General features: G+C 48.6%; 1 long non-coding RNA gene across 2 annotated transcripts in view, besides 1 other annotated feature; it reads left to right on the top strand.

The window, feature by feature from the left end:
• LINC02028 (long intergenic non-protein coding RNA 2028) overlaps window positions 1–18,677 on the top strand; it is a 65,515-nt gene that overhangs the window by 25,626 nt on the left and 21,212 nt on the right. The window lies entirely within an intron of this gene.
• Window positions 12,590–13,167: an enhancer, noted in NCBI's record as "H3K4me1 hESC enhancer chr3:193749967-193750544 (GRCh37/hg19 assembly coordinates)". NCBI's record gives its function as "activates a minimal SCP1, AML or CMV promoter by ChIP-STARR-seq in naive H9 embryonic stem cells {active_cell/tissue: H9 hESC(naive)}" and the evidence as "EXISTENCE:reporter gene assay evidence [ECO:0000049][PMID:30033119]".

Here is an 18,677-nt window from a genome sequence, read left to right as displayed (position 1 = left end):
ACTGGGGAGAAGGTAAACCAGGGAGAGCCCGGGAGAGGTGTGGGCAGTGATAAGGGGAGGGGAGAAAACCGGTAAAGGGGCCATGGTCAGCCAGTCAACACAATGCGCAGCTGCAGCTTCATCCCAAGGGGGAAGCTGTTACACGAGTGTAAAACACACACCTCAAAAAACGATCCTCCCGGGGGTGGGGGGCTGGGGTGTGTACACACCAACTCCTCTCAGTCCCTAAAGGCTGCTCCGCAGAGGATGTGAATTTCCCAGCGAGTGTTAATTTTGTAGCTCATCTGGAAAGCACTAGCACTGGAGAAAGCCCTCGGGCCCAGAGAAGCCAATCTTCCTGTTGGAAGTTCTCTGGAGCACACTGAGAGGCTAAGGCTGGAGGGTCAGCGCGCTCATCACATCTGTTCTAGAAGACTGAGTGAAGTCGGTGTAAAAGGCTGGGCTACAGGGGGCTTCTCCTCTTCCCTGTGTGGACCCCTTCCGCCAACAGTGCCGTGCCTTTGCCTGTCCTTTCTGAATCCCAAGGTCATTTGACACCCGATGTGTCCTGTTTTACACACCTGGAGACCTGGAGAGCTCTTCCCCCAGACACATGTAAATGGTCCAGGGTCAGCTCCGCCCACTTTTTACACTTTGTTGCATCCTCCATCTCCCACAGCATCCAGCTTAGCAAGAGACACATGGTAGATAGAAGCTCAGTGGTCAATGCTAGGCAGATCGCATGGGTCAGAGAAGTTTGGTTTGTAGTGGAAGTGGCTTTGTATAGATGTGGCGGCAGAGTGACATGCGTACAAGTGAGTTGCTATATATAAAGTGCTGTACTAATGTGAGGGACATTACTGATGGACTGTTCCTTGCTTGTTTTGGGCATCCCAGATCATGAGGATAGAATCAGCAATAGTGCTTGAGGATAAAATGACTCTCGAAGGGAAGAAGAAAGAAGAACAGATTCGGTCTAAAACAGTTTTCCAGTCTCCCTTTTCCTTTCCCCAGTTATTGGGAAACAAATGACTCCCCTCTTATCCTCTGCTTGGTTTGTGTGGTACGTGATATTTAGATACTGGCATTGGCCTTGCCGTGTGTAGGTTATGGGGCAATGAACAATAGCTAACCTCGTTTACTGCAGGCACTCTCTAGTGACTTATATGTATTAATTCTCATCATAACGCTGTAAAGTAGATGCTATCGTTTCCATTTTACACATGAGGAAACTGAGGTACAGAGAGACATTAGGCAACTTACCTAAGGCCACACAGCTGTTAAGCAGCAAAGCCAGAATTTAACCAGATTGTCTGCTCCATTGGACATAATGAATGCAAATAACACTCACTTTTTTCTAGTTTAAGTATAGAATATAGTGTCTGGGTCTCCAATTATATTTTCATTTCCAGCACCATTGTTCAGTAAAGCAAATTTTTGATATATGGCCATTTGGACATTGGTGCTAATAAATCTGATATTTCTGTGTACATTCTCTTACATTGCTAAGATGTCCATTGCAATCAGAAGCTCACCGAATGTGCTTAGCTGAGTGGAGAATGATTTCTCGGTGTTGTATTTGCTCTGAAGAGTCTGAATTCTTGGGGAGGCAGAAGCTGGAAGTGAGTGAGTCAGAGCTCAGATGGGAAGTCAGAGGCCTGCAGCTGGGGACTCCCTGAGAGGATGAGATAGTCTGATCACCTAGTGAGGTGACCAATGTTCTAATTGCCTGGGATGGAGGGGTTTCCTGGGAGGCAGGACTTTCATGCTAAAACCAGGGCAATCCTGGGGAAATCAAGAGGTTGGTCACCGTAACTGTATGCCAAAGTATTAAATAAGAATGTTGTTTTAAACTAGAAAACAAGAAGGAAGATCTCCCATAGATTTTCAAGGTGCTGAGAAAACAGCTTCTAGACATATCTCGAAAGCCAAGTTTCTGAGATGTAATCAGAAAGCTGTAGTGGAAGGAAATTTGAACCAGAAGACTGCAGTCCTGTCTATGAACGTTAAACCTGTGTGGCTTAGGAAACGAGTCTAACCTCGTCTGAGCCTCAGTTTGTTCACCTAAAAGATGGAGATGAGAGCTCATTTGTCTCATTCTCAGGGGTTATGGTGGCCATCCAGACATAAAGAAATTAGAACGTTCATTCATCTGCAGATGCTCACACATTCCTACAGGATGACTGAAACCCACAGCAAACAATCCTCATGAAATACAGCTCAGCTCATCCTGAAGAATAAGTGGGAGGTCAGCCTCACGGGAAATTCGATATCTCCACATGCAGCTGTCATGCCACATGGAAACAGTCATGCATAGGGTCCTGTCACCTGGTAGACTGACCCCAGGTCCACTGACCCCTGACAATCATCAACCGCTTCTGAGGGCTCCATGATTGAGATTTGTCCCCAGGAACTCAGGGGAAACTATATATTGATTAAAATGAACTATCAAAATCATTTAGAGAACTCATATTCCTGGAATCTGTGATGGCCTGTGTGTCCCCTCTCTCTGCCTCCCTTTATTGTTGCTACTGTGACCTGGACTCTGATGTCCCCTGAGGTCCACCACCCTCCCTCAGAACACAGTCTCCCTATTTATTACTTTAGTATCATGTACCAGCTCCATTTTCTTGTGCCAACTTCTGCTGTGGTCTGGACTCAAATCTAAATGGGCTGCCTAGGGGGCTGGACCCAGCCTCTTCCATCTGCCTTTGCCAGAATCAGAGCTGTGGACCTTGGGGCCTTGGAGGCTGGGATCGTATATGACTTGGGCTCCAGTGGATACTCTGTACACAAATCTTCTCTTTGGAGTGTTCAGGGATTGGCTGCTAAAGGGCATAAAGAGAGAAGGTTTCTGCGACTTCTGCAGCACAATATGGGGCTTCTAAGTTTGTGGCTCTCACTTTAGTGAGCAAAACAGTCCCCGAAAAAGCTTGTTAAAATGCAGTGTCCTTTGTCCTATGTCCCAGGGTTTCTGATTCAGTCCAGTGCAAGAATCTGGATTTTTAAAGAAACCACTGAGTTGCTTCAGATACACATTTCTGAGAGTCATATTTTCTGAACTTTTAGATAACGAGAATGTGATTTTAAAAAGGAATTCAGTGGCTGGGCGTGGTGGCTCCCGCCTGTAATCCCAGCACTTTGGGAGGCTGAGGCAGGCTGACTACTTGAGGTCAGGAGTTCGAGACCAGCCTAGCCAATGTGGCAAAAGGCTGTCTGTACTAAAATACAAAAATTAGCTGGGCATCATGGTGCATTTCTATAATCTCAGCTGCTTGGGAGGCTGAGGCAGGAGAATCACCTGACCCCAGGAGGCGGAGGTTGCAGTGAGCAGAGATGGCGCCACCGCACTCCAGCCTGGGCAGCACGGTGAAACTCTGTCTCCAAAAAAAAAAAAAAAAAAAAAGTAATTTAGTCTTTGGTGCTTTGCTTCAGGGTATTATTGATGGCTGAGGTGGTCATCGTTTAGAACTGAAACAAGTTCTGGGTGTGTTTTATTTTCTGATTGTTTGGATGTTGGTGAAATGGAAAACCGACTCAAGGTCTTGGACACTTTTGCAAATAGTATCTCTTCTGTCTTTCTGACATTCAGGAAAGAGGGAGGCAGATATTCTTACAGTATACTCATTTTATAGATGGGGTACTTGGCCACCTTCTTTGGCTTAAATAAAACAAGCACCTGCATGTTATTTTACTATTTCAAAGCATTTGTCCGTGCGTTCTGTTACGTGGCCCTCCCAGGAAACTGCCGCAGTTGGTATTGCTGCCTCTGTTTCACAGACAAGGAAGCCTTGGCTCTGAGTAATTCTCGGACCTGCTGGAGGTTAGAGTGAGCAAGAGCTGACGCTGAACCGGCTGTGGTGGCCCCTGATATCAAAGCCTTCAATACTTCTACTGCCTATCTTTTTTTTTTTTTTTTTTTTTGAGGCAGAGTTTCACTCTTGTTGCCCAGGCAACGGCATGATCTTGACTCACCGCAACCTCCGTCTCCCAGGTTCAAACGATTCTCCTGCCTCAGCCTCCCAAGTAGCTGGGATTAAAGGCATGCGCCACCACGCCTAGCTAATCTTTTGTATTTAGTAGAGACAGGGTTCCACCGTGTTGGTCAGGCTGGTCTCGAACTCCTGACCTCAGGTGATCCAGCTGCCTCGTTCTCCCAAAGTGCTTGGATTACAGGGGTGAGCCACTGTGCTTGGCCCCAACTGCCTCCCTAGAGAAGACGGCAGTGCAACTGAAAGTGGAACTAAGAGGCCCAATTGCTGGGAGACAAATGGTGTTTCCAGGGCCACAGACACCTCGGCTCCCACGATTGAAGATCCAGCCACTACATTGGCTCCCCGTCTCCTTGTCCAGTAAGGGAAGAAAAAACAAAAAGGCCAGTGGGTCCTTTAGGGCTTCCTGGATAAAACAAGGACAATCAGCTACTTAATTTAAATGGAGGAAAAAGAAAACAGGAGATGAAAGTGACAAGTAGACTTGGGTGTCTACAGACATGCCCCTCTTGGCTGCTTCTCCACATCCAGGCACAGGCTTTTCTGTGTCTGATGCCTTTGTCTCACACCTTCGGGGGCACCCAGGGAGATGAGGTGGTGAGCTCAGACAGTGGCTGGAATTTATGGGACCAATGGAGCCCCTCTTCCCACCCTCGTGGTAGGAAGGGGAAGCATGATGAATTTCCTCCTGGGTAAACATCTTCGCAGGAAGCATTCATCAAATGTCAACAGGGCCGGCAGAGGAGTCTGGGATCAGCCAGGCGGGGATCGGCTTCCCCCTCCTCTCGCAGGCTGTGGGTTTTCTCCTGCGCATTCACACCTTCTTCTGTCTTGGGTCCCATCTTCTCTCAAGCAGCTGAGGGGAGGGACAGGAGGACATATCCTAAAACAACCCAAATTGTTTTTTGTTTTTGTTTTTGAATTATTGATTCATTTTATTTTTAAAAGTTATAGTATTATGTATGACAATCAAAACAGAAAACAACCTAAACATCTAACAATGGGGAAAGTTAAGTAAATTATAATATATGGTAGGACTCTTATGCAGCCATTAAAATATCTGTATTCAAAGTTGTTAGAACATGACAAATACTTGTGTTATTAAGTGAAAATGGCAAGACAGAAAACTTCATCCACATGGTGAGATCAAGTAGATATTTTAAAATACACAGAAACAGGCCCAGGAAAGAGGGGTTAAAAAATTATTAGTAGGGCGACCAGGTGCGGTGGCTCATGACTGTAATTTCAGCACTTTGGCTGGCCAAGGCGGGCAGATCACCTGAGGCCAGGAGTTCGAGACCATCCTGGCCAACATCGTGAAACCCCATCTCTACAAAAGTATAAAATTAGCCAGGTGGGCGCCTGTAATCCCAGCTACTTGGGAGACTGAGGCAAAAAAATTGCTTGAACCCGGGAGGCGGAGGTTATAGTGAGTCGAGATCATGCCACTGCACTCCAGCCTGGGTGGTAGAGCAAGACTCTGTCTCAAAAAAAAAAAAAAAAAAAAAAAAAAAAAAATATATATATATATATATATATATATATATATATATATATATACACACATACATACATGGGTTCTCTTTCTGTGTAGGATAGAATTATGGATAAGTTTTTCTCTTTATCTTTTATAATTTCTATACTGCCTATATTTGTACAGTAGACATTGTATCTTTCATAAGTTCATTCTCAGAGGGAGGGAGGGATCTTTTACTTTTGTTTCAAGATCCACATCTCTGAAGAATTAATTAAAACAACTTGTTCAGATAGTTACTGCTCTGGGTGAAGAAAAAGCCACTGGTGGCCCAACCAGAAAGGAGAAGTAGTTGGCAGATCCTGGAGGGTTTCCAGTGATGTGTAGGGGTCATTTTGGATCTCTGCTTCTGCATCCCACCAAGGTTTGAATTGTCCCATTAGCTGCCCACTTGGGCTCAGTCCTCCCGCCCTGGGAGCAGGCCCCAGGCCCCGGCTTCAAGGCTCAATAACAGGTCATCTTGCAGGCCTCCATTTCCAAAGCCAAGTTCACTGGCGTAACTGCCACTACACCCCACCCTTTTTTAATAAGCAGGGTTTCTATCAAGCTGGGCACCTGTAACACAGTTGATTGCCCAGATTCTTGCAGGAGAAAGCTGATAAGGAAATGTCTGGAAGAGCCACAAGCTCGCAAAGCCGCTGTTCCTCCTGCACTGGGCACTGCTGGTTGTAGATGCTGTGGCCATCCGCTCTTCTCTCAGGGGACCCGTCACTCATACTTCACTCTCCAGGCTGAGGAAGCCTGAACAAGCAGGACCACTGATTCCAGGGTCTCTTGTGGATTTTCAGACTCCAGCCCCTACAATGCAGAGGAAAGAAGCCCTCCCTCACCATGCCTGCTATTTCCTTACACCTCCAAGAACCAGTCATCCTCTCATTCATGAGACGCAATATGAAGTTGTCCTTAAGCCAGAAGGATTTGAATTTCAACTCTGCCCCAGCACTTAGCAAATGGTCACAGAAGAAGTACTTAATCATGGTTAGTGAAGACAGTTACTTTATTATTATTTCTATGCTTGTCTTTGGAGGAGAGTGGACTTTGGAAGGATGCAGGAAGCTGTCAAGCCTCTGGCCCTTCCATGCCTTGTCCTTTTCACCGGCTGAGGGCTGCTGTCTCCCCAGACTTCTCTGTGGGTCCAAAGCCCACTCACTCAGTTGCTCTGTATTTCAATCTTGCCACCAAAAGGCACTGAGTATCCTTTGTGCTGGCACATAGGATAAGTGGAAGATGGAAAGAGGAATAAGAAAGGCAGCAGCTGGCGGGGTGCGGTGGCTCACGCCTCTAATCCCAGCACTTCGGGAGGCCGAGGCGGGCGGATCACCTGAGGTCAGGAGTTCGTGACCAGCCCGACCAATATGACGAAACCCCTTCTCTACTAAAAATACAAAAAATCAGCCAGGAGTGGTGGTGGGCACCTGTAATCCCAGCTACTCGGGAGATGGAGGCAAGATAATTGCTTGAACCCAGGAGGCGGAGGTTGCAGTGAGCTGAGAACGAGCCACTGCACTCCAGCCTGGGCGACAAGAGTGAAACTCTGTCTCAAAAAAAAAAAAAAAAAAAAAAAGAAAGACAGCAGCCTGTGGCAGCTCATGGGGAGGGAAGGAGGGAATGCAGAAGCAACTGCAGCCAGATGGAACATAGAGTAGAGCAGAAAGCAGCATTCTTCAGGGGAAGGACAGGTCATTTCCAGCTGGGGGCTTGAAGAATGGCTCTGGAAAGGCTTCCTGGAGGAGGCGGTATTTGGGCTGTGCTTTGAAGAAAGGGAAGGACTTCGGTGGGTCGGTAGAGGTGGGAAGGACCTGCCTCAGCTGTGAGCTTATTGCCAAGGCAAAGGATACCACTTGAGCCCAGGAACAGAAGATTCTTGGCCTCCAGGCCATCAGTTAATTGTGCAGACATTTCAAGCTTCCATTGCATTGTCAATAATAGTCATGGGCCATTTTTTGCATACATGATGTTATTTGAATTTCGCAAAAATCGAATGAGTCAGACAGAACACGAATTATTATGCTCATTTTCCAGATGAGCAAATTGTGGCCCAGGGAGGTGAAGGGGTTTGACTTTGTCCACGAAGGTGGCCAGTGGGAGGGAGGGCACTGCACTCAGATCTCTGGGCTCCAAGTCCAAAACACATCATATGGCATAAGATTGATCCTCTTCTGTCTACTCCACCCACAGGCTGTTAAAGGTGGTCTTTGGAACCAGAGGAACTTCAAGCTGGTGCCTTGGCTTCAATTGATGTTCCATTCACAATTGCCAGGACTCTGCAATAGCATATGCAGAGATCCCCTGCTCCCATCTGACGGCTTCTAATCTATCATTTCTAATCACATCTTCTATACAGAGTAACCTTTTATTTTTTAGACAGTCTTGCTCTATCGCCCAGGCTGGAGTGCAGTGGTGTGATCTCGGCTCACTGCAACCTCCGCCTCCTGGATTCAAGTGATTTCCCTGCCTCAGCCTCCTGAATAGTTGGGATTATAGGTGGCTGCCACCACACCCGGCTATTTTGTATTTTTAGTAGAGAAGGGGTTTCACCATATTGGCCAGGCTGGTCTCGAACTCATGACCTCAAGAGATCCACCTGCCTTGGCCTCCCAAAGTGCTGGGATTACAGTTGTGAGCCACTGCGCCCGGCCCACAGCAACCTTTCTAAAGCGTAGATCTGTTGCTCTTGCTTAAAAACCTTCAGTAGCTTCCCTGCCTCTTTTGGGTAGCGTTCCTTACCCAAACCTCTTTATCTGTTCTTCTAGGCCCTCCAGGATCCTTCCTGCCCTTTTGGCCCCCTTGCTTGCCTGTCTTCCCTGTGCTTCCTGTGTGTGGGACACTGAGTATCTTGCAGTTCTCAAAGTGTTCCAGGATGTCTCGTCATAGCTTTGTGCACGCATGGATTCTAGAGCCAGACTACCTGGGTTTAAAATTCATACCCACCACTTAAGTAGCTGTGAGACTGAGAATAAGATCCTTAGCCTCACTGTGTCTCAGCTTTCTTATCTGTAAAATGGGGATAATACTAGGACCCAATTTGTGATGTTGTTGAACAGACTCATTGACTTTATATAACAGATCTAAACTTGGTACATAGTAGGTGCTTAATAAATATTGTTGTGGCTGTTCCCTCTGCAAGACCAACTCTCCCTGATCTGGTGAACTTAGGCAGGTTCTCTCAGGCTCCCTTCTCTGTTTGCAGCCTCCAGGAAGCCCACCCTAACTGCCTGAGGCAGTTACCTCCCTCTCTCTGTCCTGCCTTCACAGAGGCCTGCATGCCTCCCAGGCAGAGAACTTGTCATTTGTGAGAGCTGCGCCCTATCTGAGACCCTGTGATGCGTGCCATGCCTAGCCCGGCCCTGACACATGGTAGATCCTAATATGAAGCTGTGGAGGGAGTGAATGGCCTGCAGCACTGCACGGAGGACCTCTTTGTGGCACGGCCACCAACGCGTGTTGGGTGACTGACCACAGAGACTCCTTTACTCCTTCGTTTCCCAGAAATAAAATGGACAACTGGCCTCCTAGTCTGATGGGGTGTCCCAGACAAGGCAAGACCCTGGAAAGTGGGGCACGGTTTAGCAATGAGTCTTAGCCCAGATTATTAGCCTATTGGCCAGAGCAGGTTCACCCCAGGACCCCTCACTTCAGGCTCTTTCCCAGGCCCAGGACCTCAAGTTGCATTTGCCATGTCATGTTCTTTTTCTTAAAGACAGCCCTCCCAACTGTGCAAACTTCAGGCCCCCTTCAATCCTGATATGCCCCTGGAGTGAATGCCCCCATTCCCTGCCCTCATCAGCTTCCTCATGCTGTTGGTTTCCCAGCCCTTTTCTCTCTTTGCCTTTTGTATCTGCCCCTGGGACTCTGAGTCGGGGAGGAGGACCAGGAGAGGTAGCCCCGGTGCACTCTGTCCTCTCCTGGCTTGCCCACACTCCTGGGATGCCTGAAGAACAGCTGTGAGGAGCTGCCTGGTGTTGCCAAATCTCATGCAGATCACCTCCTGTCACCCACATCCCTGTTCCTCCCACAGGGTCTCTCTGGTCCTTAAATCCTCCCTCTTGGTTTTGGCTCTGAATAAGGCCCCATCTCTCCCCATACACTCTCTACCCCCTCTGTCTCTGTTTGGTCCAGCCTCCTTGAATGAAATTCGTTGGACTTTGGGCTTTCAAGTCTCCTCCTTCCAGGAAGTGGCCTCAGCTTCCATAAACTCTGACTATAGGCAACAGCTCCTGCCAGCCTGCAAGGCAGGCCTGTGGCTCAGAAGGCCAGGCCTGTCCCTTGATCAGGTCACTTGTGTGGGAGGAGGGCAGTGGGGTGGGGTAGGGCGGTGTTAGACACATTCAAACCATTTCCTTAAGGAGGAAATGTAATTTTCATAAATCTGCTATTTGAGGGCTACCTATGTACACCCTTCGGGGTGCAATTCTCAACCCTGGCTGCACTTGTGGAGGTTTATAATATACAGATGCCTTGGTCCTATCCCAGAAATGCTGTTTTAATTGGTGTGGGGTGCAGCCCAGGTAGCAGGCATTTTTGAAGCTCGCCAGGCGATTCTAACGTGCAGCCAAGATTGGGAACTACTGCTTCAGGGAGCACATCCTGTAACTGAAGGCAGATGGAGGGCTTGGAGCAAAGCGGGTTCCAGTGTGAGTGCATGGCAATGCTTGATTCCTTTGCCTCCCTGACTGGACCTGAAGAGACAGAGCTCTGCTGGACTCCAGTGCCTGTCCACTAGAGGGGACGCAGCCCCAAAGCACCTCACGATGGGTCACCACCCTGGCTCAGCTCTCCCCCGCCTGCCACCCAACACCCCTGGGAGGTGAGTTTTAGGGCAGAAACAGCAACTGTTAGGGAGCAGGGCCGTCTTCATTCTGGCACACTCTAGGCCCAAGTCAGAGGTCTTCTTGCCAGGCACCTGAGAACAGGGTTCGGGTTCATGTTCCAGCCAAGCCCCTGGCACTGCTCCCACACCTGCCCCTCCTCTTGCCCGTTCGGCTCAGTGAATTGCACCCCCTTGGCTGTTCTGCTTCCAGAAGTCACTCCCCCTGGACTCTGCCCTACTTCCCTCCAAATCCAGTCAGTCACCATGTCCTGTGCACGCGTCCACTGAACTTGCTGTAAACCCGCCTTCCTCCCCAGTCCCACTGCCCGGGCCCTCTTCGGGCCTCCTTTCTTCTTCTGTAATGCAGTGGCCGCGCCTGCATGCGCTTCTGGGCTGCTCTGCTCTGTGATTTTCTCTCTATGCCAGATCAGTGTTCCTGTCCTACTGAAGTTCCTCCCTACTCTCTCTCTCTCTCTGTGTGTGTATATGTTTCTCCAAGTGATTCAAATCTGAAACTTCCTGGGATTTCCCTTTGCCTAGCACAGTGGTTCTTAAAGTGTCTTGGGAAGGCCGGAAGTATCACGATTACTTGGGAACTTGTTAGAAATGCAAATTCCCAGGTCCCACGCAGACCCACTGAATATGGGACTCTGAGGGTGGGCCCGGCAGCCTGCGTTCAAGCCCTCTAGGTGAGTCTGATGTGTGCGAGAGTTTGGAAGTCACTGGGCTGGACAGTTCATGCCACACTCCCATGTGAATTGAAAGCTTCCCACACGCTGGTCCCAATTTGCCTGTTCTGTCCAATTCCTAACTGTCCCATCTCCCATATCCCTTCCTGGGGGACGCTGCTCACACGGTTCCCTCTCCTGAAAAGCTGTTTGCCACTTCCAAGTATTGAAAGCTTCAAGATCCAGCTCAAGCATCATTTGTTTTGATGGATCCCAAGATTCCTCCTACAAGAACAATTTTCCTTCCTCCAGCCTCCACAGTATTATTTTTTTTTTTTTGCCTCTCCCTCTCTCAGTCTTTCTGTCTCTCTGAAGGGGTTTAGCCTTTAATAAGCAGGGCTTCATTCAACTGTGACTACACATGAGAGTCACTCAAGGAACTTTGAATACTTATACCCAGGCTACACTCCGGAGCAATGAGACCAGAATTTCAGGAAGCCTGGCATTGTATATTTCAGTAGTTCCCTTACATAGGTTTAATGTGCCTCTGAGTTTAAGACCCTCTCTTCTAAAGCGACCAGAGGGAAAATCATGATGGGAAGAGATAGGAATGTAAAGTTAGGAGACACAGGTTCTGCTCAGGGCTCTGTCCCAAATGACCATCTAATTTGGGGCAAATCACTTCTCCCCTCTTTCCCAAACTGCAAAATGGGGCATTGTTTTAGATCAGTGGCTCTCAAAGCCAGCCAATGCCTGGATGTCAATCCTACGGATTCCCATGTAATCTGTCTGGGGAGCAGCCTGGATTCTAACTTGCAGCCAGGGGTGAGAACTACTCTCTCAGATCTCATCTAAGGGCCATGCAATTGTGTACAACGGTTTACTTTGGAGAGCAAGGGTGTCTGTCTCTTCAAATACTTGGACTTCTTTGCCCCAGCATCTATTAATCTTTCCTCTTCCCAAATAAAACCTCAGACCTGGTGTCAGTGATGCTGGGGCATGTGAAGTTTCTTATCTGATAGCATAAGAGCCAGGGATATTGTGAGCCTACCACAGGCAGCCTGGTTGGGTGTGTTTGGCCAAGGTGGCAGGAGGCGGATTAAGGATCAGATGAAAATGCTCACCAGAGGCCTGGCAGGGGGTCACTGGGAGGGCTACTTCTGAGCTCCAAACACCAGCACGGGTGGGGGGATGGGTTTTCCTTCGAGGCTGGGTCAGGCAGGGTCTTATGTAAAGGGCAGATGTAAAAGAGACCTTGTAAAGTAGAAGAAGACGGAGTGCATCCAGGCAAGTTAAGTTCTGAAACTAGGTAAGTCAGTCTGCAGCCCGGGGTTGGCAGGATGACCCAGCAGCGGCGAGGGGCCAGGGACAGGGGCGGAGGAAACAGCTGCTTATTTAAGGGGTGGGGGTGGGGAAGGGAAGTAGAATGCTTACAGAAGCATCCTCTCTGATGAAGGTGTTACTGATCCCTGGAGACACCCAACAGCCATCTACAATAGGCTTCTCTGTTTATCTGCACATGACACCATCCCGTTTCAGAGCCCAGAGCAGAGACCTTCCACCTCAGATCCAGGAGAGTGGAAAAGACGCTCCCCCAAACCATCACCTTCCCTCAAACCCCCAACACCCTCAGCCTCCAGCGCACGATGAACTCTTTTCTTCCTCTGTGCTATGCCCTGCTGCCGCCTGCCCCATAAGGATTTCTTCCCCTAAAGATGGGCTGGTTTCTAAGGCCAACTGCCCCTGGAGGAGGGAGGGGGCTGTGTTTTGCAGTGAGAGGTAGTGTTGGCTTAGAGAGGCCCGAGTTGTTTTGCAGATGGGAAAACAGTCCTGGGGGTGCGGTGTCTGGCCCAGGCCAGCCCAGGGCGCCAGGACAGAGGTCAAGCCGTCTGTCTGGAGCTTGGAGCACTAGACCATGCTTCCTGATGACTTTACAGTCTAAGCCATTGAGGAAGAAAAAGCACATGGAAAAGGAGCTTTGTTTTGACTTCTCGACACTGGCAGGGACCGGTTCTCCCTGCTGGGAAGATGAGAATGTCACAGGGCCATGGGTGTGATGTGTTTCACCCCACACTCCCACCCTGTGAGGTGTCTGGTGAAGCCTGGGAGAAGGTAGTTTTCCAAGAGTAAGTCTCCTGGGTTTGCTCCAGGCAAATAAAGTTTTTGAACTTGAATGTTGGTCAAATAAAGCTTTGTGGTCCCAAGGAAGGAGAGCAGTTTCAAAAGCCACCCACCTGGAAGGCTCGTCACGGCTTTGGAGGCATCAGATCCCCTTTGCAAGGCCATTTTTTTGGTTGCCTTTGAGGTCAATGAATCAGAGCAGTCTGAATTCCATTTGCCCTGGCACAGGCTAGGCGGGGGCAAAAGGTCATGTGAGGAAGAACAGGCACAAACGAGGCGGGACCTGGCGCTGCACCTGAGGTTGGGTTTGTTGTGGCCCCAGCACACCTTGCAAATGGAAAAAGGTAGAGGGGTGTCTTCAGACCCCCAAATTGTAAAGTAGTCAGAGAATCACAACATTGGAAGGGACCTTAGACTAATTTAGTATCTATTCCACTCAGATGACCCAACCTGCTGGCTTTACAGACAAGGAGACCGAGGCCCTGGGATGTGTGGTGATGGGTTCACCGTCCTCCAGGGAGTGGAGACAGGCCTAGGATGAGCTCGACGATGCTTAGCCCCAGGCACTTTCTTTGGGTCCCTGGCTGCTTCCAGTCTTGCAACAGGACTCTGTGCCCTTTGGCTTGCTCTTAATATCCCTGACCTCTGGAGAGCCAGCCCCAGCTCTATGATTTTTGGCAAATCTGTTAACCACGATGTCCCTCCATCCAACCCAGCTGGGAAGCCAGGCAGGACGCACGGCTCCTGGGAAGCCAGCTAATGGCACCCTCTGGCCCTTCTCTGCCAAAAGCCCCACAGCGGGGAAAGAACCGGCTGGGGAGAGTTTGAGACGGCTTGGCAACCCCCTGATAGAGGCTTGGCTGGTGCACACCCCACTCCCCCTACCCAAGAAAGCCCCCAAATAGGAGGACTCTAAAGAAGAAACATCCTAAATGATGAGCCTTCACAAGGAGATTTTCACTGGTTCCTTCCCACACCAATTCATAGGATTGGTTTTCAGGAAAAAAAAAAAAAAAGTAGGAAAAGGATTGTTATGAGGCCAGACCTGGTGATTGCCCCAGGAGAGAATGAACCAAGAAACAATTGCCAATGGCATCAAGTAAGGCTGCCCATAGAAACTTACCGAAGAATCCATAGTTTAACATGTTATTACTTTCTTTATTTCCTCCAGAGAATTTTACAGTGGCACACCCCTAGGGACTATTCTTTCCCTTAATAAAAGAGGGAAAATGTAGATTTGGAGTAGGGAAGCTGTTGTCTTGGGACAAGCAGCCAGGAGGTGTGGGTGGGGTCAAGAGAAACTCTGGCCGGGTACAGTGGCTCACACCTGTAATCCCAGCACTTTGAGAGGCCAAGGCAGGTGGATCACTTGAGGTCAGGAGTTCGAGACCAGCCTGGCCAACATGGCGAAACCCTGTCTCTACTAAAAATACAAAATTAGCTGGGCATGGTGGCAGGTGCCTGTAATCCCGGCTACTCGGGAGGCTGAGGCAGGAGAATCGTTTGAACCAGGGAGGCAGAGGTTGCAGTGAGCCAAGATTGTGCCACTGCATTCCAGCTTGGGTGACAAAGTGAGACTCTGTCTCAAAAAAAAAAAGAGAAACTCCAGGTCCATCCCTCATGTCTGGGGCTCAGCTGTGCCACGTAGGCTGTTTGCACAGGTGAAGATCAAGGCTGCATGTCTGTGTTGCCCAAGCAGCCTCTGATGGCAGTCTGCCAGGTGAAAGCATTGGCCAGACCCTTGGCTTGATACTGGGCTAGTAATGAACCTCTGTGGTTGATGGAGCATATTACCTTTTGATCTCCAGTGGGGAGGTGAGCAGAAGCCACCAGTCCTGAGATGTGGTACAATTCCAAGTCTCTTCAAGAGTCACCTGAAGTGAAGTGCACAAGAAGGAGAGAGCTCTGCCACCCGAGGCTCCCTTTAACATCCTGGAGACACCTCTTTTCAATGGTGGAGCTCAGGCAGCTGGTGGGCAGGCTCAGGCAGAGCACCTGGGACTTATCAGGTGCACTGGGATGAAACTCATGCCCAAGAGAGGCTTGGAAGCTGACTGGACAGAAAAGGTTCAGAAAGAGTGTGGTGAATATGTAGAGGTGATGGGTCACTCTGGCAGGTTGTCAGCCTGAGACAGGTCCCAGCTGTGGAGGGGAAGGGCTGCAGGTACAAGAAGGTGTAGGCAGCTAGGGCTTCCTCTGCCCCACCCAGCAAGTGACCAATGTTATCAGGGTCACAGAGCTCAGAGGTTAAGAATACAGGCTTTGCAGTCAGACAGGAGGTACTGACTCAACCTCTTTCTGGCAGTGTGAACATGGACAAGGTTATTTAACTCCTTTGAGCCTTAGTTTCCTCATTAACTGGGTGGAGATTAAAGTACCTAACTCACAGGTCATGGTGAGAATTCAATACAACAACATATATCACATGTTAATCATAGTGCCTGGCATTCAACATAATATTGTTATTATTACTTTTTTTTCTTTCAGGGATTATTTTCAGACCTCATGAAGCTGCTGGCTTATAGAACAGGAGTCTTTCTGTTGGCAGCCAGGAGAGATACAAGAGGGGGAGGACAGATTCTGCAGCTCCATTTCGTGAGCCATCACCTGTCTTTGTCCCTTTTTTTTTCAGTAGGGTATGTGGGAGCAATAAGGCAAGGAAACCTCAAGGGTGGCCCTTGGTTACACAAAGTCTTATAAATGCTTCCAAAGCACAGAGGCTTCCTCCTTCTCAGGATGCGGGCTGGAGATGAAGTCCCCCATTCCCTGCTCTTGCTCAGGCCATTTTTACCAAGGTTCCCTCTCACACAGGTCCCTCACAGCTGGCCTCATGGTGTGGGAAGGGGCCCAGACAGCTAAAGTCAGATCTGGCCAGGCAAAGCCTTGAGGTCCCAGAAGGCCCTGCCCAGAGCCAGGTGTCCTCACAGTGAGGCCTTGGGCTTACAGACCTGAGTACTTCCCATGGGAGATACCTGGTCCCAGAGGTAACTCTTGATAAGGGCTTATGGATTCTCCCTCTGGCTTTGAGCTGTGTTGCACCCGTAGGTGCTGATTTACGTGAGGATTAGGAAAATGCTACACTTTGAGGTAGCCTTAGGGAGGGGCTAGACATCTTTATCACCTCTGAAGGTGGCTCAAGAATCAGAGTAAGGGTTTGAACAGTATTTCCACAGGTCAAGGGGCAACTCTCTTCCTTCCAATCACCCCCACAGATCTCTGTTTCACCTCAAAATAAATGCTGAACAAAAATTTCAAGAAGAACTGAAGGGAAGGGAGCAAATTATGGATCTTCCTGGGGCAATTGTAGGTCTTGGTCTGAACCTGACTCAATATGAGTCCTTAAAACAAACTGTGGCAGAGACTGCTAGCAGCCAAGGCCATCTTGTTCTCGTCTCCCTTGTCATCCATACAAAATATATTTCCCATACTCCCTTGCAGCTAGGCATGGTCATGTGACTGAGTGGTAGCCAATGGAACATGAGTAGGAATGATGGGCACCACCTCCAGGCCTGGTTCATCAAAACATCTCAGGTTCACTCCTATGTGTTCTTTACTGTCTTAGGCAAATAAGGATAATGCACAGGGTACCCTTGAAAGCCATGTGTTATAATGACAGTGTTCATCCAGCCTTGATTCCTGTAGAGCAGAGTGGAGGAGAGCCCCTGGGCTGGCTCATTCACCAGCTCAAAAATGATACAAGACTAAGAAGTAAACGTCCATAGGATTGTCATGAATTTTGGGGTCTGTTTGCTACAGCAGTGCACTTATACTAACTCATATAGGATCACACCTTTGTTTGAGCTAGAGAGACCACCCCTAGTCCTGTCCTGTATAAGTCTATAGAGTCTCTTCTTTTTTTTTTTTTTTTTTTTTTTTGAGATGGAGTCTCACACTGTTGCCCAGGTTGGAGTGCAGTGGAGTGATCTTGGCCCACTGCAACATCCGCCTCCCAGGTTCAAGTGATTCTCCTGCCTCAGCCTCCCAAGTAGCTGGGATTACAGGCACCTGCCCCCAAGCCTGACTAATTTTTGTATTTTTAGTAGAGATGGGGTTTCACCATGTTGGCCATGCTAGTCTCAAATTCCTGACCTCAAGTGATCCACCCACCTCAGCCTTCCAAAGTGCTGGGATTACAGGCGTGAGCCACTGCACCCAGCTCTATTCTAATTATTTGCAGTAATTACATTCTATTTATAAAGTGGCTATGAGCATTGAATTAGCAAAACTGAGCCATTGCTTCTAGGGGAAATATAGGCTTCAGTTTCTGTGAGCCACTAGTCACAATATTTTTGTGAATGATCAATATACAAACTTGTTTTGTGGGTGTTTCTGCTTAAAGACACCATATTTAAATACACTGTTGGTTCATTAACAATGAACTCATAGCCAACAGCATTATAACTCTACCTGAATGAAACTTATCTAACACACAAATGGTTTGCTCCCTAAGGCACATCACAGCCTTCTTGCACTTAAAACACTAGATAACACATCAGCAATCTGCTTGGGGACCATTTTAAACCATTAAATCACCAAGAAAAGCATAAAAATGCAAAAAACATGGCATTAAATGGACTGCAAAAAGGACATTTGTTTACAGTATGATAGACAAAACAAGAAGGCAGGGCATCACCTTGCTTGACCTCAGTTGGGAATGCATGCATCGTGGGCCTCAAATATTTCACCTGTTTGTGCATGTCCAGGAATTACCTTGAAAGAGCCATTGAGGTAGGAGACGGAACTTGACTCTGGAGGTGGGGCTTGGACACTGGAGCAAATTGAGGACTAGCTAAAACAGGTTGGGGGCAGAAGCATCTCCTCATGAGGTACACCGGCCAGTGTGCCCTGTCAGTTTACCATTTCCATGGCGACACCCAAAAGTTACTGCCCCTTAGCATGGCAACCCAGGATTGGCCACTCTCATTCTAGAATTGTCTACATAAACCGCCCCTTAATTTGCATATAGTTAAAGGTGGGTATAAATATGAGTGCAGAACTGCCTCTGAGCTGATACTCAGGGCACACAGCATATAGAGTATTCTTGTTCCGCAAAAAACAGTACCTCTGCTGCTGCTGTACACTCTGCTGCTTCAGAGTCGCTGTTTAACACTGTGGGTTCACCCTTGAATTCTTCCTGGATGAAGCCAAGAACCCTCCTGGGCTAAGCCTCAATTTTGGGGCTTGCCTGTCCTGCGTCAGCATGAGTACGGACTTTGGGGTTACAAATAGGTGCATTTGCAAATATGGAATCCACGAATGATGAAGATAGACTATCACTGGGTACCACCGGAATTCTCTGACCTGATAACTTCATATGCAAATCCTGGCTGGTAAGGAGGATTGGGAGCAGGTGGATTGCCGGAAGTCTTAGGCTAGTACTAAGAGTACGGGGTGGGGTGTAGATACCTGTGTGTGGCTTCCAGTAGGTCAGTACCTGCTGCCTCTACTAGTACTGCTCATTCAAGAACACCTTTGGCTGAAGATGGCACCAGGGTCTGGCCATCAGGCTGCAATTAATTTAAAAGTGATGGAGACTGGCAGGATCCAGGATAACCAAGCTCTTGGAGGCTGCT

The sequence above is a fragment of the Homo sapiens genome, chromosome 3 (genome assembly GCF_000001405.40).
Source record: "Homo sapiens chromosome 3, GRCh38.p14 Primary Assembly".
In the NCBI taxonomy this organism is placed as follows: domain Eukaryota; kingdom Metazoa; phylum Chordata; class Mammalia; order Primates; family Hominidae; genus Homo; species Homo sapiens.
This window is presented reverse-complemented; position numbering and strand designations above follow the sequence as displayed.